General features: G+C 38.2%; 1 protein-coding gene across 5 annotated transcripts in view; it reads right to left on the bottom strand.

Annotated features, from left to right (window-relative positions):
- AR (androgen receptor) overlaps positions 1–24958 on the bottom strand; it is a 186599-nt gene that overhangs the window by 129865 nt on the left and 31776 nt on the right. The window lies entirely within an intron of this gene.

Raw genomic sequence — 24958 nt, 5'->3', positions numbered from 1 at the left:
ATGAGGTATACATCCCTCAAGCATTTATTCTTTGTGTTACAATCAATCCTATTATACCTCTTTAGTTATTTTAAAATGTACAATTAAATTATTATTAACTATAGTCACCTTATTGTGCTATCACATAATAGGTCTTATTCATTGTTTCTATTTTTTTGTGCCCATTAAACATGCTCACCTCACCCTCCCCTGCCCCACCAACTATCCTTTCTAGCCTTTGGTTACCATCCTTCTACTTTCTATATCCATTAGTTCAATTGTTTTGATTTTTAGATTCCACAGATTAAATGAGAACATGCAATGTTTGCCTTTCTGTGCCTGCCTTATTTCACTTAATATAATAATTTCCAGTTCCATCCATTTTGTTGCAAAAATGACAGGGTCTCATTTTTTTATGACGAATAGTACTCGGTTGTATATATGTACCACATTTTCTTTATCCATTGACCTGTTGATGGAGCTCTGTTTTTAGTACCAAAATTTTAAATAATATTTTTATAAATAATAAAAGTAATTTATAATCATTGTTTTTAAAAAATCAAACTGTGCAGGGGTGTATACCATAACAAACCTCAGTTTTTAGCCAACTCCTTTCCATGTCCCTCTCCAGGTGGAGCCACTTTTAGCAACTTGAGGTATATCCCCTCATAGCTTTTTCTATGCACATATAAACATATGCATATATGTACATTCAAATGTATGGTTTTCCTTTTGCAAGAGTCAGATGATATTAACATACTCATTTGAAACTAGCTTTTCTTACTCAACTATATAATATGTTGGTATATGCACATTTGCATATACCAACATATTTAATGGTTGATTTAATGGTTGCATAGTATTTAATGGTTGATTTAATGGTTGCAAAGTATTCCATATGCGCATATCATAATTTATTTAATGATTTTTCTGGCAATGACATGTAAAATTGTAAGTTTGGATTTAAAAATAAATAAAAAACAAATCATCATTCAGCTTTGTCGCTTAGCTTCAAGCTTATTTTGAAATAAATCAGCATTGCGAAATCTCTAAAAAGAAAATCTACATGTAGTGTAAGCAGTAAAAATTTACTCTAAAATTGTATTCATTTGTTGAATAGTAAACATCATGGACTCATTTTTGTTGGTAGCATAGAATCAACATTGATTGAGCACCTGTTTGGTGCCAGGCACTGGGCTAGGCACAGAAGAAAGGTGCAGGTTCAGAGATTAAGAAAACTCCTCTCTCCCTCCTCAAGAAGCTTACATTCTGGTAACTGGAAGACAAATATAAGCTTTAACATTCAAAACACAATGTTGGTGGTTTATAATTACCCAAAATGGCCTTTCTCAATCAAGTGGCCTAAATTCAGTCTTCTAAACTAGCCATTTAAATCAAACCCATTCTCAGAGTCTGATTTTAGTAGTGAACTCACTACGCCATGAATCTATTTACTAAACATCCTGCATTTTCCATGCAGTAAACAAAACCAAACTATCCTCATTGTCCTGTACTCTTATGAGCAAGTATTTAGTCTACATTGCCAAAACATGATACATAACAATATTACCTACGTAACTTAGATTTGAGACTATACCACCAAAGCCACAACTAAGTAAAAAGCAGAGAATACAGGAGCAAGTAATGCCACACATGCCACTGCCACCCGCTCAATAGGCCCCTTCTCTAACACATACATATTTCTGGTTTATTTGGGTACCCTCTTCTGGTTAGTTCTCTCCACCTCCTACTTCTCATCTCACGTTTCCACTTGAACTAGTGTTGTTTCTATTGCTCCATTACCACAAGTGGCTACTGGCTGCATATCAGAAGGAATGGATCTAGATAGCTCCCTCAGGACAAAGATTCTACCATGTCCATCACACAGGTACTTAGGAATCTCTTGGTGAATAAATCACCACCATGCTTGGTTTTGGATCATAAGAAGACATTCTTTGCCTCAAACCTTTCCCTGAGAAGAAAAACAAAAGTGAAAAAAAAAAATTGAGGTGAGAGTGGGGATAGGGAGCAGCTAAGAAGACTATGGCTTCTGGAGCCCAGTAATTCCATATTAATAAAATAATATTTGAACTAATGGTCCAAAGGCAAATAGGTACCCTTATTATGGGTATATTAAGCAAAGAGCCAAACAAAACCAAACATTACTTTTCTAGTCAGAATAAAAACACATTGCTGAGGTGGGGTGCGGTGGCTCACATCTGTAATCCTAGCATTTTGGGAGGCCAAGGCGGGCAGATCATGAGGTCAGGAGTTCGAGACCAACCTGATCAACATGGTGAAACCCCGTCTCTACTAAAAATACAAAAATTAGCTGGGCGTGGTGGCACGCACCTCTAATCCAGCTATTCAGGAGGCTGAAGTCAGAGAATGCTTGAACCTGTGAGGCGGAGGTTGCAGTGAGCCGAGATCGTGCCACTGAACTCCAGCCTGGGCAAGACAGCAAGACTCCGTCTCAAAAAAAAAAAAAAAAACATTGCTACAAAGTGCCACAAAAGCAGTAAGAGGTGCTTATTTAAGCAGTGAGTTTTCAGCACTTTTTGTACTGTTGCCTCAATGGCTCACTCATCTCAATTATTTCCTCATTTTCATAAGGAGCAGTGCTGGGCGCTAAAGTACTTTTACACCCATTATCTCCTTCAATTCTCTGCAGAATCCAGATAAGTAATTATAATCACAGGTATTATACTCATTTCAAAGATGAATAACCTGAGGCTCACAGAAGGGAAGCAACTTGCTCAAGTCCGCAAATACTGTAGTTAAGTCAGTAGTAAAGGCAACCAGGGCTTCAAAATCTTGTCCAAGTGTTGTGTCTTTGCAACAGGCTGCCTTTCACCAAAAGTATATTTGGTCTGCTAAAATGATGTTTACCACCCCCTCCAACAACAACAACAAAAGTCTTTGTCCAATTTTAAAGTGGTAGTTGGATAATTCTATTTTTCGTTTTCCAGCTGGTCCCAGTGAAACATATTTATCCTAAAAGCAAGGGATACCTAGAATTTTTAGGGCAAGACTAGCAAAAAACTTCATGTAGGAAAGGTAGGGCACCCACTCCCTTGGAAAATAGTTATCAGGGCAGTGAGCAGATAGTCCATAGGCCAGTATGAGCCAAATTTTCTGCATTCAGTAGCATACAGCTCTCTGGAAAACCTGCATGTTTGCTTATGAAGGGGCCCAAAGGTGGGGCTAGAAGTGAGCAAATCAGAAAAGTGCCCAGGTTGTGGTGAAAAACTTCAAGAGGTTAATATCTGGCAACATGAAGATCCCAGGATTATAAGTATGCTCTTACTACAAGTACCTAATTCAATTTTGAACTTAGCTATGCTCCCAGAGAGTGAAAAGGAGGGCAAATGGAGGTACCAAACAGGACCATGGGATCTTGTACCATAGTTCAAGAGCTGAGGTCAGTTAAAGAGCTCAGTTCAAGAGCTGAGGTCAGCAAACTACAGTCTCAGAGCCAAATCCAGCCTATTGCCTTTTCTGTAAGGTTGTACTGGAACACGGCCACACCCATTCATTTCAGGATTGTGTATAGCTGCTTTTGCACTACAACAACGAAGTAGAGGAGTTTTGACAGAGATCATATGGCCCACAAAGCCTAAAATGTTTACTATCTGGGCTAGTGCAAAAAAAGGTTTTTGACTCCTGCTCAAGAGAAGTGCCAGAAACTCTTCCTACATTTCAATGAAATGACCTTCTGAACAAGTTTCCACACTGAGCAAATAACTTCCTAGTTATGTAATTTGGGGCAAATCACTTACCTCTCTGTTCCTCTCCCTGTGAAATGGGTGTGAAGTAGGCTGTAAGGCAGAGTATAAAACCTAGTTGCTGTTTTAGTGCATAGAAAAACGTTCAGCATATGGTACCTAAAGAGAGAGATAACTAGAACTGCTCCCTTTAAAGGAATCTTTATTTTCAGTGCAAATCAGGGTACACTTTATTGCTTAACTGCCTGAGAAAACATCACCACACATGTCTTTTCAAGTGAGAGTCCTGCAGCCATGGCCCAACTAGTTTCTCTAGAGAAATGACATGTAATGAGTGGTGCTCACTAGTCTATGTATGCTTAAAATGAGTGTGCTAAGATTATGTAGCATGATAATCCAATTATACATCTGACTAGCTTCTTACAGTGTGGGAGAAATGAATATACACAGACTGAACACACTGAGGAAGGCAGAATCCACAAGGTAAATAATATGCTTAAAATGTGTTTCTTATTTGATTGCATATGGAGGCCAAGATAGATTTTTTAAACCATTTTAAAAATCAGATAGTCAAAATAATCTAAAATGAGACTTTAAAATGCTTTTTTAAATAATTAGTTTAATTTAAGAGTAAATATCAATTGAAAAACAAAGGAAATAAATACATCATCTGGAAGGATACATAAACAAAGAAAAGAAGTGGAGTCACCAAGAAGACCCTCTCCCTGATACAAAAGAGACTGTGTAAGTCCATTCTTGCCTTGCTATAAAGAATACTTGAGACTGGGTAATTTATAAAAAAAAAAAAAAGAGGTTTAATTGGCTCATGGCTTTGCAAGCTGTGCAGAAAGCATGGTGCCGGCATCTGTTCGGCTTCTGGTGAGGCCTCAGGCAACTTAAAATTATGGCAGAAGGTGAAGGGGGAGCAGGCATGTCACATGGTGAAAGCAGGAACAAGAGAGCAAGGGGGGAGGTGCTATACAACCAGATCTCATGAGAACTTACTATCACCACAACAGCACCAAGGGGATGGTGCTGAGCCATTCATGAAAAAACTGCCCTCATGATCCAATCACCTCCCTCCAGGCCCCATCTCCAACACTGGGGATTACAATTCAAAACCAAATTTGGGCAGGGACACACATCCAAACTATATCAGCGACCCTCATTGTGATTTCATACATTTATAAGCTTTTCAAGGTGAAAATTATTTACTTATTTGTTTATTTATTTATTGGAGATGGGGTCTCACTTTGTTGCCCAGGCTGGAGTGCAGTGGTGTGACCATAGCTCACTGCAGCCATAACTTCCTGGGTTCAAGCAATCCTCCCAACTCGGCCTTCTGAGTAGCTGGGACTATAGGCACGCACCATCACGCCTGGCTATTTTTTTTTTTTTTGTATATTTTTGGAAAGACAGGGTTTATGTGAAATCCATTGACAAATCAGAATCTTAATGACCTAAGGAAGTAAAAAAAAATCTTTCTAATGAATTTTGTGAATTCTATGGGAAACATTATAAAATAATAAACAAAGAGAAAAATATCATTTAAATTTAAAATAAATTTAATCTAAGTTATACTGAAGTAAAGATAGCTTTAAAAAGCAAATTATACCATCAGGATTTACACCATTGCAGTAGTTACAGATAATACAGTCGCATAATCTTTCTAAAAAGTTTTTTTTTTAAGAAAAAAAAGCAAAGATGCCATGGCAGGCCTTGATTTTTTTCTCAAGCTCATTTTGTTGCTAAATTTGTCAATATACAGTGTAAGATTTTTATAAACCTTTAATTACTAAAGAAAAATTAGCTGTGACACAGCTCTCATCAACAATCCCTCCATAGCACTCTCTTAAGTACTCAAGCTAAGACTTCAAGTAACCTTCGTGCTCAGCATGTTTTCAGAGAGGCAGGTTTGAGCACTGTTGAGGCAACCCTTTGATGTAAAACATATTCGAGTCTAGATTAAAGCCACAACTTCTGCCGATCTGAAATGGTAACTGTCTTCCTTCAGAATCTTTTGCATTCTAGATTGGAAAATTATTTAGGAACTGAAAAAGCGGAGGAGCCTGTCTCTCTCTCTCTCTCTTCTTTCTTTCTTTTTGACAAGGTTTCACTTTGTAGCTCAGGCTGGAGTGCAGTCCTGTGATCTTGGCTCACTGCAACCTCAACCTCCTGGGCTCAAGTGATCCTCCCACCTCAGCCTCCTGAGTAGCTGGGACTACAGGTGCGTACCACAACGCCTAGCTAATTTTTTGTATTTTTAGTAGAGACAGGGTTTCACCATGTTGCCCAGGCTGGTCTTAAACTCCTGAGTGCAAGTGATCCACCCACCTTGGCCTCCCAAAGTGCTGGGATTACAGGCCTGAGCCACCACACACATCAGAGAGTTTTTCATTGGCTTATTAGCAGTAGTAGGTAGGAAGAGGACTCTGAAGACTAGCCCTATAAGCTAATATTTGCAGTTTTTCACACTGATTAGGATAAAAATTTGTATAGTAAATTTTTTGTAATCATATAAAAAACAGCTATCATTACAAAGGTTTTTGTTTTAATTAGTGCTAATCTACATATGCTTGCTTTGTTAAAACATGTTTAAGATAAAAGTAATATTTTCATTTTTATTAAATACAAATATTATAAAGGGGGGCTGTGGTTTACCATGTATACTATGATAAAAACTGCCTCAAATATCCATAATTTATCTATTATATTATAAATGGTTTTCTTTCCAAAGCTTGACAAAGCTCTAAAATAGGGTGAGTGTAGTGGCTTATGCCTGAAATCACAGCACTTTAGGAGGCTGAGGTGGAAGGATTGCTTGAACCTAGGATTCTGAGACCAGCCAGGGCAACATAGTGAGACCCCATTTCTATGAAAAATTAAAATAAATTGCAGAGAGTGTGGTGCCCACTTGTGGTCCCAGTTAGCTGGGAAAGTGAAGTTGGAGGATCACTTGAACCAGGAGATCGAGGCTGTAGTAAGCCATGAGCGCACTACTGTACTCCAGCCTGGGAGACAGAATAAGACTTTGTCTCAAAAAAAGGCACTAAAATAACCAAATTATTCCTCGGTTCTTTCTGATTAAAATCCTTTGATGCCTGGGGTTAAGACAATAGACAGAAACAGTCACTTTTCTGAAAAATTAATCTGAAAAAATTAATTAACCACTGCCTTAACTTTATCATGTGCCTTCTAAAAATGAAAACCGTACTTATTTCAGTTGCAAAAACATGTTCAATGTTATAAAGGAAATGCATTTATAACTGATGAAAAATTCATGTATATTTGTCATTGTTTTATGAAATGGTTTAACATTCTGTTGCCTGTATGACAAAATAGTCCAGATCTTTTTTAAAAATATCAGAATATTAAGAAAGCACTTAAGAAAACTTATTACTGGCTGGGCATACTGGCACACGCCTGTAATCCCAGCACTTTGGGAGGGCAAGGCGGGCAGATCATGAGGTCAAGAGATCGAGACCATCCTGGCCAACATGGCGAAACCCCGACTCTACTAAAAATACAAACATTAGCTGGGCATGGTGCTGCTACTTGCTACTTGGGAGTCTGAGGCAAGGGAATCGCTTGAACCCGGGAGGTGGAGGTTGCAGTGAGCCAAGATCACTCCACTGCACTACAGCCTGCAGCCTGGTGACAGAGCAAGACTCTGTCTCAAAAAAAAAGAAAAAAAAAAAAAGAAAAGAAAACTTATTACTGAATTACTGACACCAACCCAAAGCGGCCATTTTAAGAAGTTCAGAAATTCAAGTAGGAGAAAGACTCCAAAGAAGGAGGTAAAGATAAGGGTCTGTTTCGGAAAAGATCATATGGGCTTCAATGAAAAGGTAAAAAGTTTCCAAAGAAATCAAATGTGAAAGAGGCTGAGGGAATTTAAGACACTATGCCATTTAAGAACTAAAGTGAAGAGTAAAACAGTAATGTTAACAGTGATGAAACATTGGGAATTTGATTCCTAAACCAGCTGGGTGGGAAAGGACTGAAGTAGATAGGGTTAGAACAGCATTATCAAAATAAAAGAGTTACATTGTAGACTTTGGGGTTAGTTAGATAATATTCTTGGCACTATTTTACTTGTTTTTTTAAAGTTAGAAATTCTCAAATGGCATTTCCCTGGATTGTCTTAGTTTTGCTCTTCTGAAACCTACTCGCACTGCTATACTATCAAAACAAGAAGCACCAAAAATCAGTTGCCAGCAATTACTCAGTAAGTCATTGCCACAGTTTGTAGAGGTATCTAACCGTTCCTTTTAGGATATGCTTGAAGTTCTACAGTGAAAAGAATATCACAAAAATCTTTATAAATAGATATTGACATAACTTAAATAGATTCATCTTCAGTCTTACCTAGCATGCTTAGTAGATTTTAAAAAAAAAAAAGTTTTTTTTTTTTCTGGGAATATTCCTAAAACAAGAAAAGAAATCAATAGGGCACATGACGTGATATGCAGTCACTTCATTTTACAATCGTTCAAGAATGACAAATGTATGAAGAGAGGCACATCTTCCTTTCAAAAGTTCCAGAATTTTGTGTTTTTATACAACAGAGATACTCCTAGAAAGGTAGAAAAATCTGAAATGTACATAATCAAATCATATTTTAAATGCATTCAGGGAGCTTCTTACTTAAAAGACATCTTATTCAAAATCTTTTTAGGAAGTGAAAATGAGGATAATTGTTCCCAAATTAATCCTTTGTGTAAACCTGGATTGCCCTATATTGTGCTTGCTTAGCATGTGAGAGATCTGTAGAGTTGACACTCTTACCTATTGTTCAGCCCAGATTTCTGCCTCCAATTTGCAGCAGAGGCTGCAATTGGTAGACATAGATCCTCACATCCCCACATAAACCTAATATGGCTAATTTCAATGAACACTCAAACCACAAGTTCTTTATTAAGAGGCCGATAGTCAGGCAAACATAATAGTAAGGAATTCAGTGGTTCTGCATCAACAAAGCATCACTCTTGAACACATTATCTTAGTTTCACATATATCATGCCTTTTAAGTCAGCATGCATCTCTTAGCTTGATTATGCTCCCTCGCACATCCTTTACTCCACCTCTGTAAAGACAATCATCCGTTAGATGAAGAAAATACTTTCCACTAAGGTTTCTTCTAGGTAACTGTTCTTTAGTCATTTAGAGGATTGTATGTCTTGTTTATTTAAGGGAAGAAATTATTTTACAAATGATGTCAGCAGTGAGAACAAAGGAGAGGGTGGTGACAACTCCAAGAGAAACTGGAGAATGACAGTGCTGCAACAATGCCCTTCCAGCCTGGAGTTTTTATCTCGTGGCTCTTCCCTAGGCATCCTACCAAGCCCCTTGGAGGATTTTATGTTTGGTTAATTGATTCTAAGACATAATTTTCCCTACCCATTTTCCACTAAACAGAAATGTATCATCAGAATTTTGCCTCCTTGGAGAGCCCTGTTGGGCCTTATTGGGGTTGCAGAGAGCACAGTGCTCACCAAGGGGCGTACTCTACCCACCCAAGCCCATCTTAAAGATTAAGCTTTCATCCGCAATGGAGGTAGGAGAAGGGAACCAAGCCTGCTGCATTTGGAGTTGAAAGGAGTACTTTATTTAAAAATATATTCAAGAGAAGTCAAGCTCTCCAGTTTATTTCTCACACTTTAACATGTTACCTCTAAACTCCTTTTTCTCTCTATGCATTTCTTTTTTTTTCACTTCTTTTTTTCTCAACCTTACAGCGATATATATTCTGACCCTATTCTCTCCCACCCTGTTGGTCAGCATAATTTTCCACCAAACCCATCCTATAGTTATTGATGTTAACTGTAACAAGTTGACAGGTCGCTTTTCTAGGCCCAGAGCTGTGTTCCCAAATTCTGTTTCTAGTAGCATGCTTACTTCTAGCCCACTACTTAAATTTTTTTCTCTCTCGGGCTAATTTTTTTCAGGCCCACAGCCCATGCATATACACATACCTGGCTTAAAGTTTAATATGATGCCTGGAAGAAACCCAATATAAAGTGCAGAAGTGGAAGAAGAATCCTGAGACAAGTGTGAGGTTGCAGAAACAGCAAATCAAAGGTCACAGTGACCATACAGGCTTATTGTTATCCCAAATAAAAATAGGATTCAGAACGCAGCCAATTTCCTGTCATTTGCATTTTACTCTTTATTTGAACAATGGTCAGACATCAGAACTTAATACAGGAGCACTATCTTAGATTACACTTTAAGAAACATCAAAACTGATGAATTCCAGAGTTCTACTCTGTCTTAAAAGAGAATTTTCTTACTAGGATAGTCTGGAAAGGAGAAAGTATAGTTTACGAACTCCTAAACTGGAAGATAACTTAAGAAGTCATCTGATCCATCCCTCTGTCCAGAGTCACATCTAAATTATCCATGCTGTACAAAAGGCAAGAAAATAGAAGAGTTGAGATAATAGACAGTGAAAGGAAAATAATAATAGCTTTCAAAATCATAATCTCATTTTACCATTTACAAATGCCTTTTTATCCCTCATATTACTTAATTCTCTTCCTAGTGAGATATCATTATTATCAATATCTGTGAGGTAGTGATTATTGTCATCATTTCCATTGTAAAGATGAAGAAAATCCAAGTTTAAAGAGGTTAAGTCACATGACTGAAATCATTAAAAGGTGTAGCCAGGCCTTGACCCCAAATCCTCAGGGGAGAGATGATGAACAATTGTTATCATAGCAAAGAACTAGTCTTTTCCAGTGATATATGTGATAATTCAAGGCTTTCACTCTGAGATCTAAGTTATTTCTGCTTAACCCAAGAAAAAAAGAAGCCTTCATCCCCCTTCCCCACCTCAACCTAGTCCTTGAGTTCCGACATTCTTTTATGCCCTAAACCAAACTCTTGGCTTCATACCTGGTCAGGGTGAGCAATGTTGAAGCTCTTAGTGATCATCAAACACCTGGGAAGATGAAAAAAAAATAAAACCAGTAGGAAAGACAAAAGAATAAGAGTGTGGGTACTTTGGACTAGGTAGCTTTAAGAAGCTCAAAAATCAACTGTAAGGGGAGGCAAAAGAAAGCTTTCTTCAAGTCTTCAGGTTTCTCTTTTAAAAATTCCAATTTCAAATGACAGTGGCAACCTAGATGTCTTCCACGCTTCTCTATTGGGATATATAAAATAGTCCCTCAGTCAGGGCCAGGAACCACAGGGCATGCTCGAGTATACAGCTCCTCCCCTTGAGGCTTGGCTCCACTCCTTGGCTGTGTAAGCAAGGGAGAAAACAGAGGGGAAACTGGCTGCCTGTATCCAACCTCCATGCACACCAAAGGCATGGCTGCCATGTCTAATTTTAGGCCTCTCTGCCTTGAGAGGACTCCTATAATTCTCTTTTTAACAAAGCACAGGCAGTGATCTCTGGGAGGCAGATGGGGAAAGCTCAATCAGGTTTACTCAAGTTGAGTCTGCCCTCAAAATGTATATCAATGACAAACTTTCTCCATGGGATCCTCATGGAAGGCAACAGTGAATACAACAGAAGAGGACTCTGTTGGCTGTCAGGACAAAGGCCAATGCAAGTCTACTCCCAAATTCATGTCAATTAGAAGGCCTGGGAGAGGAAAGTTGATTTCATTTTAACATACTAACATACACACTCTGTAAGGCCGTGAGCTAAAGTTTGCTTTGGGGCATATGGAAATGAAAACAGGTAACTTACAAATAGAAGAGGCCAGTTGCTTACAAACTAGGCAGGGGAAAAGATACTAACAGTGGACTTCTTTTTTTTTTTTTTTTTTGAGACGGAGTCTCGCTCTGTCGCCCAGGCCGGACTGCGGACTGCAGTGGCGCAATCTCGGCTCACTGCAAGCTCCGCTTCCCGGGTTCACGCCATTCTCCTGCCTCAGCCTCCCGAGTAGCTGGGACTACAGGCGCCCGCCACCGCGCCCGGCTAATTAACAGTGGACTTCTTAAACACTTAATTTGTAGTTAACAAGCATTTTTTGAAGACTTGCTGTATGTGCCTGCCAAGAGAAAGTAAGCAACACAGGCATGTCCCTTGCCTTCATGAACCTAAGTAGAAATAAGAAAGACAAATTTGAACATGTAATTACAAGTGTGTTGAGTACTACTAGAGGGAAAGGAGCCCAGAGTGTTATTGTAGTTTCACTTCCAGAATTGTCCTTGCTCTAAAAGCAATGATATGAGGGATAAGAAAGGTAGACAGAATAGGGATGATCTTAAAATGACAAACTGTCCACCCCACAGCTGACTTCTGACTGAGAACACTCTGCAGATGGCAATGGGGAAAGAAACACAGAAAAAGAACAAAAGGGAAGAAAGGAGATAGAGAATAAAAACCAATTGTGAGGCCAAGTCTATTTAGTCAATGTCCTGGGGCATCAGCCGGGCATCAGCTTGTCACTATCACATTCTGCTTTTTGATAGAGGAAAATTTGCCTGAGCTGGTTATTCAGATGAAATTGGAAGAGCCAAGGGCACTTTCATAAAGGGTACCTGGGGAAATTGCCAGCTAGCATTCCCTCTCTCTCTTGCTCTTCCAATAAAAACAGGCTTGATGATCCCAGGCTGGGCATGACTAATTGTGAAGTGCTGGGTGGCGGCTGTTGTACTGGCCTGCATGGCCTCAGCGCTTGTCATATTTCCTTACAAAGTGCTTTGGGATACCTTGAGAACAGAGGCACCACCAATCATTCTGATTCTAGTCTATATAAAGCCAAAGAGTTTGAAGCACCTCCTTTTAATCAAACAGTGTGGGGACATGGGCAGCTTGAGAAATCTGCTCCCAGGACAAGTCTGAGCCTGGTCTACTCACCCTTGAGATGGATTTGGGTACAAGAAGCAGTACAATGCATGACACACACATGGGCTCCAAGATCTGGAGTTTGCCTTCATATGGAGTGTGTGCAAAGAGCAGTTGAGAGTGCTGGCCAAGATATTGAGTAACAGCCTCCGATGCTCCACAGAACATTCTGTACCTGCCCACTTTGGAAGCCCCCAGAATTGGGAGGGTGGAGTGGAACACAGGGGGCCTTGGAAGACAGAAAAATAGATAATCAGTCCTTGCAAGAGCAGTGCATTTCAACATGGAGCAGTAGGCAGACTTCAGAATGCATGCCTGTGAATAACTACTGAATGTCTCGGGGGACAGGACTGGGGAAGGGGAAAGGAGAGAAGCAATATTTACTGAGTAGCTTCTAAATTCCTGGTGTGGGATCTCATTTTCATTCTCACAAAAATCAGGCAAGATGGCATTTTAAAATTTCACTTCAAAGAATAAGAAAAGTGAAATTCGGAGAAGTTAAATCATTTGCCAGGGTCACACTATGAGTAAGTATAACCCAAATCTAGCCAGTTTCAAAGTCCATCCTTTTCTTTTTTCATTTCATTCTGGAAAGGTAGCCTTTCCAGAAGCATTCTGACAGAATTTCCTAACATGCTAAATGTGGTTATCATGCTCAAAGTCTGTGTCTAAATCAGAAAATATTCTGGGACTTACACATATTTTCAGCTATGCTTTGGAAAATGTCTATCCATGTAGATGCAGTAATAAATAAAATCTGTACTGGAACCATCTTCTATCACCAAAAAGTGTGATTTTCAAACAGGCAGCTCAACTTCGAAGGAAAGCACCCAAACTTTAAGGCTGCTTGTCTGCCCTTGTCCTAGCTTGCCTTCGCCCTGGAAAGCATATGGATAGCCAAATAAATGAAATGAACATTAATGAATACTTATGCAGCATGAATCATGGCTGGCTTCCAGCAAGGATGCACACATTTAGGCAAACATCACACGTTGGCACCACATTCCCCAGCTGATTTTCCTGCCTCCTGGCTGGTCCAGTGTGACCCAGTAGACAGAACAATGGACTAGGAGCTAGGAAGATCTGGGTTCAACTCTTGCCTCTCCCACTTCCTAGCTGTATGATCTTACTAAACAAGTAAGTTCTCCTACTTGAGCCTTAGTATCCTCATCTGGGAAATGAGAATGCATATTTTATAGGGCTATCCTGATTATTAAATATGACAATGGGAAGGAAAGATCTCATAAGTGGCAGAGCTATAGAAATGTGCAGAGGTGCTAATATTCTCACTTGGCAAGCCAGTGCAATCAACAAGTGAACTGAGATTGATAACAGTGAGCCTCTACCCTTTCAATAAGGTAAAAAGTAGGAAAGTGTCATTTCTTATCCTAGTCTTAAATAGAAGCAATACAGCTGGGGCCAACTCTATAACAACTGGGTCTGGAGTGGTCATTAACTATGTTTGGGGCCACTCTTACACTGAACTCAACATACAAGAACTATAAACTTCCATAATACCTAAATAATAACTGGTCTCTGCATGCACCTACCAACCGTCTAACCTCATCTTCTAAAATTATGAGTTTTCATTTGGCTGTCCTTTTCAGAGAGAAAATTGGAAGCCTGAAAGGTTGAAGGTCATTCATTAATTCACTCAACCTTCAAACATTTACAGATTGCCTACTATATGCGAAGGGCATGAGTTCCAGAGATGGAGAAGGAATTTTCATCTCTCATAGAGGTGTAACAGCAGACAAGTGAATTGACTAATCACAGGAAGAAGTGTGATAAAGGAGTTACAGACAAAGTTGGTATAAATAAGGGAGGTGACATTTGAATTGGGATGTTTCCAGGTGAAAAAAGGAAAGGAGCATTCTAGGCAGAAGGAGCAGAACATGCAAAGCCATAGAGAATTGAAATGAAATAGTAAGAAGTTCTGTGTGACTGAAGCACAGGATATGTGTATGTTTGTGTGTTTGGGGGAAGGAGGGAGAAAAAAGTAGAAGGAAATGAAATGGTCTTATATGGAGGTGGAAGAGGCTGTCATCTCCAGCCACGATTTGAGGGGTACATAGAAAATTATGCTTCCTCAAAATATCTATCTCCACACACTTGCAAATTATTGAAATTTCATCCTGAGTAATTCATTATTTTGAATGATTCAGGCTCTCTCTGTCCTTCAAGGGTCTTCTCTTAAAAAACAAGTACCCTCTTGAAAAGCCACTGGGAGCCATAGCAGGAACAGCAGATAGTCAGCTGAAAGAAAGAAGAACTTGCAAGAAGGAGATAAAGGAAAAGGTCTGGAGATATGATGCAAATATAAAAAAGGTACCCTTAACTTTCTTTGTTTTTCACAGCAGAAAGCACTGACATAAAATTATAGTGTCTGTTGTCATCCATAAATATATTAATAGTATATGTGGTGATTTATGTGCTTTGGGTACAACAGTGTTCACTGGTTGTGTTATGGGCTAATCACTGTCCATGCACTGCCATGATCCATCCACAAACTCTTCCCTATCTCCAAACGTTGTGACCAATAATGGTATGGTGATTTTTAAACCTTCTTACTTGTGACAAAGATAGGCTATGGTTATGGAGCAATCTGGCATGACTCAAATCCTTGAATTCCTCGGCTTCACTAAACACTGTACTGCAAGCTTATTGCTAAGTTACCTCAGACTTCTCACTTCAGGTATATGCCTTTACATGGGCAATGAACAGACCTGACTAGTCATTTGAGTTATAATGTTCACTACGGACTGCCAAGTGATTGATAGAGCTGAGGTAGTTGATAATGTTTATAAAGGAAGCCAAATGACAAGTTATATCATGCTATGATCCACTTCACATTTCCACCCCACAGAAACTCAGTCCATATTGCTTATTGTTTTCAGTAATAATGTTGATACTGAATGATAAAGAATACTGAGGTTTATGCTACAGATAGTTATTTTGCTATCAACTCTTTTTTTTTTTTTTTTTTGACAGTCTCACTCTGTCACCCAGGCTGGAGTGCAGTGGTGCAATCTCGGCTCACTGCAATCTCCAACCTCTGCTTTCCAGGTTCAAGCAATTCTTCTGTCTCAGCCTCCTGAGTAGCTGGGATTACAGGCATGTGCCACCACACCCAACTAATTTTTGTATTTTTAGTAGACATGGGGTTTCACCATGTTGGTCAGGCTGGTCTTGAACTCCTGACCTCAGGTGATCCACCCATCTCAACCTCCTAAAGTGCTGGGATTACAGTCGTGAGCCACTGCGCCTGGCCGCCATCAACTCTTACACTTTTATACAAGAAAGATAAATTCTCACTGCTGAAGTGATCCTAGTGAGGCTACTGTGAGTTCATGCCCTTCAAAGTTGGCTGAGACCTAGAAAATAAGGTTACTCACGGTTTAACCCCAAACCAAAGAAGGACCTGCTCTACCCAAAAAGTATTATAAAAGTCAGCCTTGCAAACAAAGAAGCCTGGGAGAGTTGGAAGACAATATGAAAATAAAAATAGGAATATGCCTTTTTGTTTCTTATATTTTCCCAACCTTTCTACCTTCTGATTCCTGAGAAAAGGTTATCAACAGTTACCAAGTTATCCAACGAAGAGGACCATCTGACAATAGAAAAACAGGGCAGTTAATTTTCCCATTCAAACATTTACTGAGTGCTTGGCTCAATAAACTCTTATTTAGAAACAATAATTACTCAAATTCTTATAAATGGCAAAACAGGAGTCAAATGCAGATCTGTCTGAATCCAAGTCAAGTACTCTTTCAATAAACTCAACACATTTAGGGGCTACCTCTGGATGAAGATTCAAACCTACTTTTCCTCAACCTTATCTCCAGAAGTACTTACTTAAGATCTCCACAGGAGCCTATTCAATTCACTTTTCTTCACAAAGACCATAGCCAGTGTTGTCTCTGAACTTTCTCTTATACCTCTTGCCTTGAAATCGAACTCCATCCTTTAAGATAGAGCTCAAGTTCACTCATCCATGAACTGTTCCCCTGGGTCAATGAATGTGGAGAGTGAGTGATGGAGACAGGGAGTTTCTGGGTAGGGAGAGGGCCTCAGTGAACAGTGGATATAGACAATATATTTTCTTTCCAGGATCCCCAATAAGTAGTAACAAATGCTATAGAGTTAATGAACATCCAGCAACTATTCATGGAGTAAATATTTGAGAACTACCTCCTTTCTGATTTATTTTATATCTGCTAACTCATTTCTCCTTGATCCAGATGACAAACTAGTCCTGTGCTTTGCGTTTACTATGTGAATAAGCAGAAAGCAGGAGTAGTCTGTGGGCATTTCCTAAACATTAAGACCAAACTGACACCAGAAAAACTTCACCAGGATTTTCTAGGGGTCAGACAATACCTCAAAATGTATAGATCACATGTGTATTCCTAAATTCTGGCCAACATATGTAGGATGTAGCTACTCAACAGTGTGCTTCCATCTTCTTGGTAGTGGAGAATTATATATCATCAGTGACTACACTCTGACATACTACTTGAGTCCTAATTGTTTTTTTTTATGGTTGTTGAATACATCTGGTGTGTACAATGTTTATGCCACAAAGTACATGAAGACTTGAATCTGAATAAGTCTCTATCTAAAGGAGAACCAGAGTGGTTAGCAGAATGACCATTGGCAATCAGCTTTCAAAACCAACCTCTTGACTGACAGTGGAGAACTACCTCTCAAATCACTCCATTAGCACAAACACAGACTCATTCATCAACAAGCAAAATATCAAGCACTCACAAGTCTTGCAGCCCCATGGCAATGTAATGGCCATGCAAATACCAAAGAGCTGTTGTATCTAGTACCATTTTCATTCTATCACTCCTGACCTTTGCAACAGAACTGAAGATTATTGCCTTACAAAGAAACACTGCTTGAGGAGTTTGGGAATTTTTACATAAATCAGAATAAAATGAAGCATGTGAATAGAATGTGGTTCTTTTATTGAAATGCTTCATTTGAGGTATGTGCTATAGAAAAAGCTAATAAGTGGCTCCGTGGAATAAACAAGTAGTTATCTTACTCTCCCAGGCCTCTAGCTGGGAACAGAGATTTCATAGTAGCCTATGGTTCATAAATAAATCAACTTTACAGTTGACACTTTTTCTTTATAAGCAGAGAGGAGTCTCAAGGGTTCTGTACAAAGTTATTCAAAGTTGATGAGCACCACCACTTTCCTTTCATGTATGGCACTGCTGTTTGCAATGACCAAAAATGAAGCTGCCACTTCTTTCCTTGGGAAAGAAAAGTTCTCAATGCTCTCACATTTTTGCAAGTTTTTCTTCCAAATTATCTCCATGTGAAAAGTCTTCACTTTTAATCCATGTTTTAATATTGAAATCTTATATAACCCTCTAGGCCCATCTTAAATGCCACCTTGGGGAAGTATTGCGATGGATACGGGAGTGGAGAAGTTCAGCCACAGATTTTCAATTATAGCTATATATGAAAATTGCTTGAGTGAATTTTAAAAATACAGATTCCTGGCCTTCATACCAGACCAAATGAATCATAATGTCCAGGAATAGGAACTGGTACAATTATTTTTGATTCCCTAGGCAATTTTGGAGCAGACTCATGACTGAGAATCAGTATCTTTAGTTTCGTGTAATAGACCACAAAGTCAATAAAAATGCTTAAAGGTCCTCTGGAGGACCTGAGTATGAACAACGACTGAAACAGATTAAGTCAAAGGCAATTCTGTCTACTTACAGTTGACTCCACAAGCTTCCTTTTGCTAAAGCCAACACACATCAAACATCCTCTTCCCATGGAGAAAATATCACCTAATCTTTCCTGAAAATCAACAGAGAAGTTACCATCCCAGGGCTCTGGAGATGCCAATTCTCCTGATCAATGTGATGCAGAGATACTGTTAGCACAAAAGAATGTTATGTGCTCCTGCTCTGGTCATCAGTCAAAAGGGGCAAAGACAAAGATGAGAAAATTCAGTCCTTAGATTAGTAGTATATCAAACCTTTCTTCTAAAGAGCCCATCACTTCTACACAACCCAGTAATATCTTAGTCAGAATCAGAAGAGATGCTGTATGTGTAAATGTGCATACATTTATCACTAGAGTTTTGCAAAATAGATATGATACTAAAAAGCTGTCAGGAAAGTAAACTTTAACTGAATCTGATCTTGCCACTGACTTAAATTACAGAATTAGAAATGCATTTTTATGTTGGGCAGATGATCTTTCAAACAAATGAGATCAAGATTGGGAGGAGCAAAGGAGTTAAGATAGGTAGTCCAAACCCCAAGGCAAGCCATGTACTGGTACTCTGGCACTCATTCCAGTAACTGAGAACTGTATCCTTCACATTCTCCCTTCCTAGAGTCTTGTAAAATTCTATTATTTCTTTAACTAATAATTTCTATTACCTCTGTCGTACAGGGTAGGAGAATGAAAACCTTATGGATGCTGCTTTTTTCTCACATACCTTCCATCCAATCTAGGCTTAGCGGCTTACTGGCTGTGTAAACTAACCTCTTTGAGAGCAGTTTCCTCATTTATAAAATGCGGATATGTTAATATCTTGAATATCGTGAAGAATATTACAAAATTTCTAGCATAGTGGTTGGCATATAGGAGGCAGTCAACAAATATACAAATAGTGTACATTACTAATATACACTATTTAAAATGAGTAATTATAACCATAAACCTCTCCCTATAGAGGGCAAAGATGAGGTTTATGGTTAAGGACAGTACCAGGGCTGAGAGCCACATGCTGGAAAGAAGGCCTGAACATGATATAACTTCATAGGTTTGAAAATCATATAAAAGTTTGCATTTTTGACTTTATAAATATTCAATATTTTTTTCAACATTGAAATTTCTTGCAATAAGATATGCCTCTTAAAAGCTCACATTCTATAAGAGGTACATATAAAACATCACATTCTATATAAGAGGTACGTAAAAACTTCTTGAAGGCAATTTGGCTCATTTTCCATGATAAATCCTAGAAATTGCCATGTGAATTAAAGATTTGTTGTGGGGCCATGCTAATCCTAAAACTATGAGAGAGGAGTAAGGAGAGGAGGGGAAAGGACAGGAGAAGAGACAGATAGCACTGGCTATACGTAAGAATCACTTATGGGCTTTTAAAATGTATATACGTGCTAAAGTTTAGACCTGGAGATAATTAATAAATAGATTGCCTTGTCATTGTTTTAAAGATTCATTAATGATTCTCACGTCCAACCCAGGTTGATAATTCTTGGCTTAGATTATTCAACTAAGAGTTAAAATATAAACTCTTCTTTATGACTTATTCATTCAACAAATATTTACTGAGTATCTTCTATGTGCCAAAAAGTCTGATAGTGCTGGGAATGTATATAGGAGTGAACAGAGTATCATGGTCTCTGCCCTCACAGAGTTGACAATCTAGTGGGGAAAATGGATAATAAGCAACAGAACAAAAAAACTCATTCATAATGACAAATTGGAATAGGCACTTCAAAGGAAACAAACAGAATGCTATGACAGCAAGTAATGGGAAAAGGAGTAGAGGTAAAAAAAGAAGAAAAAACCAGAGTGGTCAGGGAAGGCTTCTTTGAAGGGAGAGCTTTTAAGCTGAGATCTGAAGAGTCAGAAAGACAAGTCATGGGAATTGCCAAGCAAAGATGATACCTTTAGATTCAGTAAAAAGTACATTCAGGTTATAAATGAGTAACTAGCGAACAACTTTCCATCCTGTGGCCAGAATAATAGTAACACTTTAAAGGTAATTTTATAAGTTTCCATATTATGGATTATAATTATCACAAAAGTAATAATCATAGCTATTCTTAAACCACAACTTAATGAAGGGCCATAATAAGGAAATCCAAAGCTGTGTATATTTTTGACAACAGATTATTATTTGTAGAAGTAATTATTATGTGCAATATAATTGTTATTATGTTACATATCTCCCCTGTAAAAACAATAAAAGACAAATGGAGGGAAGAAATTTTTTCGTTAGGGTTTGGTCAGAAATCTCTGTCAGGGCTATGAGGCAGTAAATTCCCCCTGGAGATGCTTTTTTTTTTTTCCCTTGAGGATCTTTAGAGAAAAGACAGACAGCCATATGCTTAAGATGAACTAAGAACTGTGGAGTTGGGGAGCAGGATCTGACAAATACGCATGAGAACTGATGAGTGGTGGCTGAGGAAAGGCCAAAATAAGACCAAAAAATGGCCACACCACTAGCGATTGGATGTTAGGGTCATGTGCCAACTGGGAGAAAGAGTAGCAGACTAACAACTTATGGTACTACTCAGAGAAGGAACAATTTAACCCTTTCAACCTCCTGGGTGCTGCCATTTTGTTGTGCAAAAAGGCTGAACAGATGAGAAATTACAATGTTTGCATTCATGACACCTGGAGGAAAACAAACCTACTTACTATTTTTAAACAAAAAGAAAGGCAGTTTGCTCATGTAAGAGGAAGAAACGAAGAGAGCCAACGAGAGTGAGCTTGAGCTCAAAGCAGATTAAATATGCTTTAATAGCTGCATAGAAACCTGAAGCTCATAAATTTTCCTTCATGTGCCTAGGAGGACAGGGAATTGCATATTTATGAGTTTCGTGTTGGAAATCTGTAACTGTATCTTCAACATTATACAACACTTTTTGAAGTAGCATTCCAAGGACTGCCTGTTTGACATTAAAGAAAATAACTCAAGACAATCATCTACCACATTTTCCACCCATGCTTACAGCCCTTTCTTCACTCAAAGTGCCTATTTTGACATCACAACCCTTTTCTGAAGTAGTGCTTTTAGACAATACAAAGTAGCCTTGCAAATTGCTTCAATAGAAAGTCTACCAGCCCCGAAAGTGATAGGTGTCTGCCCACCCAATCTTCTGCAGTCCTTTCCACAGATTTCAGTGTCCTTCTGAAGACAAAACTGCTTGCCAAGACCACTAAATGTATTAAGATATTCAACGACAATGTTATAGGCACACTAACACCAAAGGCAAGTCGCTAAAAGGATATTCAAGATAAAAAGCTAGTAAAAGAATACGTTGCTACTATGCCTGATATAATGAAGGAGAAAAAGAGCTACGTTGAGAGAGAAGACCTGGGCTCTGGTTCAAACTCTGGCACTTTACTTTGTGAATTGAGACAAGTAACTCTATGTCTTTCAGCCTCAGCTGTCTCATCTGAAAAATGGAATTCATACTGACTGTATGCTTGCTTCAGAGAATGTTTATGAACAGATAGTGAAATAAAGAGCATTAAGTACTTCTAAAGGCACAAAACAGTATATAAGTGTAAGAGATTATTATTACAAGAAATTTCTGCTAGGTAATAGTATCTTCAAAATGTCAGATAACCAGAAGAAACTATCAATAATTATTAAGCACTTATGCCTAAATAAAGCAGAATATAAATGTTCAAAGTCCTTTCATTTTCCCAGCCCATTCTGTCTATGCACTAATTTCATGCCAGATTTGACTGCAACAGTAATGTGCAGTTTCAAAAACCCAGTTGCCCTGTGCTCAAATACAAAATATGAACACTTATTATACACCAGGAACTTTATGTTAATTACTTCATTTTGTCCTCACAATAATTTGAGAAGGTGGGTTTTTACATATATCACCAATAAAGACTCAGAGAAACAAAGTAACTTGCACAGTGACACACAGCTAAGAAATAGCAAAACCACTATTTGAAACTAAAGTCTGTGGGATTTTAAAACATGCTCTTATTGTTTTTACATGGGGTTTCATGATTTCCCACTTGAGTTTATTTTATTTTTAAATCACCAATATAAATTGCTTAAAAACAAGGAGGGTATTATTTGTGCTCATTGTTTCACACACAAGTACATAGAGACCAAACATAAATAAAAAGTACATTTGGTACATATTGCTGGTACTTCAAAGTATTCCAGAGTTTTAGTTGAGATACTTCTTCAGCCAATTGAACCATATTAAGATGGATATGCCAATCTGAATAAAGCTTACTTACTTTTCTACCAGGTTCATATCCCTTTCCTCCCTTGCCTCTGCTTAGGTATGCATAAGGCAAAACAAAAAGAAAAGATCCTAAATCCAACCAAGCTAAAGTAAAAAAAACACAACACAAAGTATAGAGCTTTAAATGTAGATTCTCCTTGTCCCAGATAAGTTTGGGAAGTGGGGGGCTTCAGTGCTAAATTTCTGACAAATTTCTGTTCTTGGGTTGCATTCTCAGTAGTGAAGCCAAGGTCACTTAGATTCTGCTGGCATTCATACCCAGCAAAGTGGCTAATGCAGCTAAGATATGTAACACCAGTAGAACAACGCAAATGCTTGCTAGAAAACATCATATAACTGTGAAGTATCATCCCTAAAATGACAAACATCCAAAATATATTGTAAGATCTTACAACTCAATAATGCAAAGACAAATAACCCAATTTGGAAATGAGCAAAGGATCAAAAAATATACAAACGGCCAATAAGCACATGAAAAGATGATCAATATCCTTACTCTTCAAGGAAATGCAAATCAAAAGCATGATGGGGTCCCAATTCACACCCATTGAGATTACTATTATCAAAAAAGCTGAAAAGGACAATGACAATAATGAGTGTTGTTGAGGATGTGGAGAAACTAAAACTCTCATATACTTCTGGTCAAAATGTAAAATGATTCTGCTGCTTTGGAAAAATCTGGCAGTTCCTCAAAAGATTAAATGTTAAGCTACCATATTACCCAGCAATTCCACTCCTAGGTGTATACCAAGGAGAAATAAAAACAGATGTTCATACAAAAACTTGTACACGAACGTTCATAGCAGCATTATTTAAAATAGCTAAAAAAAGGATGAAAACAACCCAAATGTCCATCAACTGATGATTGGAAAAAACAAATATGATACATTAATACAATGGAATATTATTCAGCCATAAATAAGGAATGAAGTATTGGCAGATGCTACAATGCAGATGAACCTTGGAAACATCATGCTAAGTGAAAGAAGCCAGATACAAAGGGTGACATATTGCATGATTCTGTTTACATGAAATGTCCAGAATGGCTAAATCTATAGAGACAGAAAGTACATTTGTGCTTGCCTAGGGTTGAAGGGTCAGGGGGTGGGGGAAATGGGGAGTAACTGCTAATGGGCAGAGGGTTTCCTTTTGGGGCAATGAAATTGTTCCAAAATTGATTTTGATAATTGTTGCACAACTCTGAGCATCCAAAAAAAAAAAAAAAAAGAGAGAGAGAGAGAGAAACCCATTGACATTTACAGTTTAAATGGGTATGCTTTATGGTACGTACATTTTATATTAATAAAACTATTTAAAAAGACAATATGGCTCACATGAAAATTTACCACCAATTTTTTTTCCAAGAGAGAGAATAAAAATAGAAAAGAAAATAAGGGTTATGCAGCCAAGAGTTACAAGGAGGAGATAACCACATAAAAGGTATTCCACCATATCCACCAGCAACCATCCTGCTCTGGTACATCTACCTGAGTAGGGCTTTCTCTGCTAGCTCTCAGCACACCAGCTCCAAACACCAAAGTCTGGAAAATAAAATCCTTTATTTCTGGTGGCCATTTTACTAAAAATATGACCTCTGAGGCTGAGACCAAGGTATCCAAACGTGGATAAGTGTATTAGGAGGAGGATGCTTGCCAGCCTGTCTTTCTTCCTTTCTGTGCTGTTATTTTCAAATAAATTTTTCATTAAGTGAGAAAAACAGCAAATGTTTAAACTGTAGCTCCCAAGGCACAAACTCATGATTTAATTCTCTCTCTCTCTCTCTTTTTTTTTGTCCATGTACACATTCATTATGGTAGCTCTTCCACAGGCACATCAGAAGATAGGTATAGTGCCAAGAAGTTATAGTTGGGCTCAAGCAACAGCGAACGAATTCTAGTTGTCAACTATATACAATGGAACCAAATAGGGTATTCCACAGGAAAATGAAAATTTACAGTAGTACCACTGAGGATGTGAAGTAAAAGCTGCATCTAACCAGAGAGTCCAAAATACCCATATTCCAGCTCTCCGTGAGGACTTCCTGGTCTGCAGTCATGTTGCTGACATGGAAGCACACCCATGTATCTTTCTAATGAAAGAATACTTTTTGACAAAAATTCGAAGTCTCCCACCCTCCATAGTTTGGCAACCAGATGACAGAATATCTTTCCTGTATAGTATACATAAAAACTCACAGGTTTTCTGGACATTTCAAATATGTTTGTTTGACTTTTTTTCTCATAATTCTGATTCTGACAATGCATTTTTCTCTTCCTTTGCCTCATTTGTCTTTTTCATGTGAAACTTAAATAAAGCTTTAGTTGAAAATTGAGGTGATATTTACCCAAATAAAATTTATACCAGTTTCCTACACCAACAAAAACAAACCAGATAAACAGAATAGCTAGAAACACAGCCCACTCCAAATAGACACC

The sequence above is a fragment of the Homo sapiens genome, chromosome X (assembly GCF_000001405.40).
Source record: "Homo sapiens chromosome X, GRCh38.p14 Primary Assembly".
Classification (NCBI taxonomy): Eukaryota; Metazoa; Chordata; class Mammalia; order Primates; family Hominidae; genus Homo; species Homo sapiens.
The sequence above is the reverse complement of the archived record's forward strand: the minus strand, read 5'-3'. Positions and strand labels throughout refer to the sequence as shown.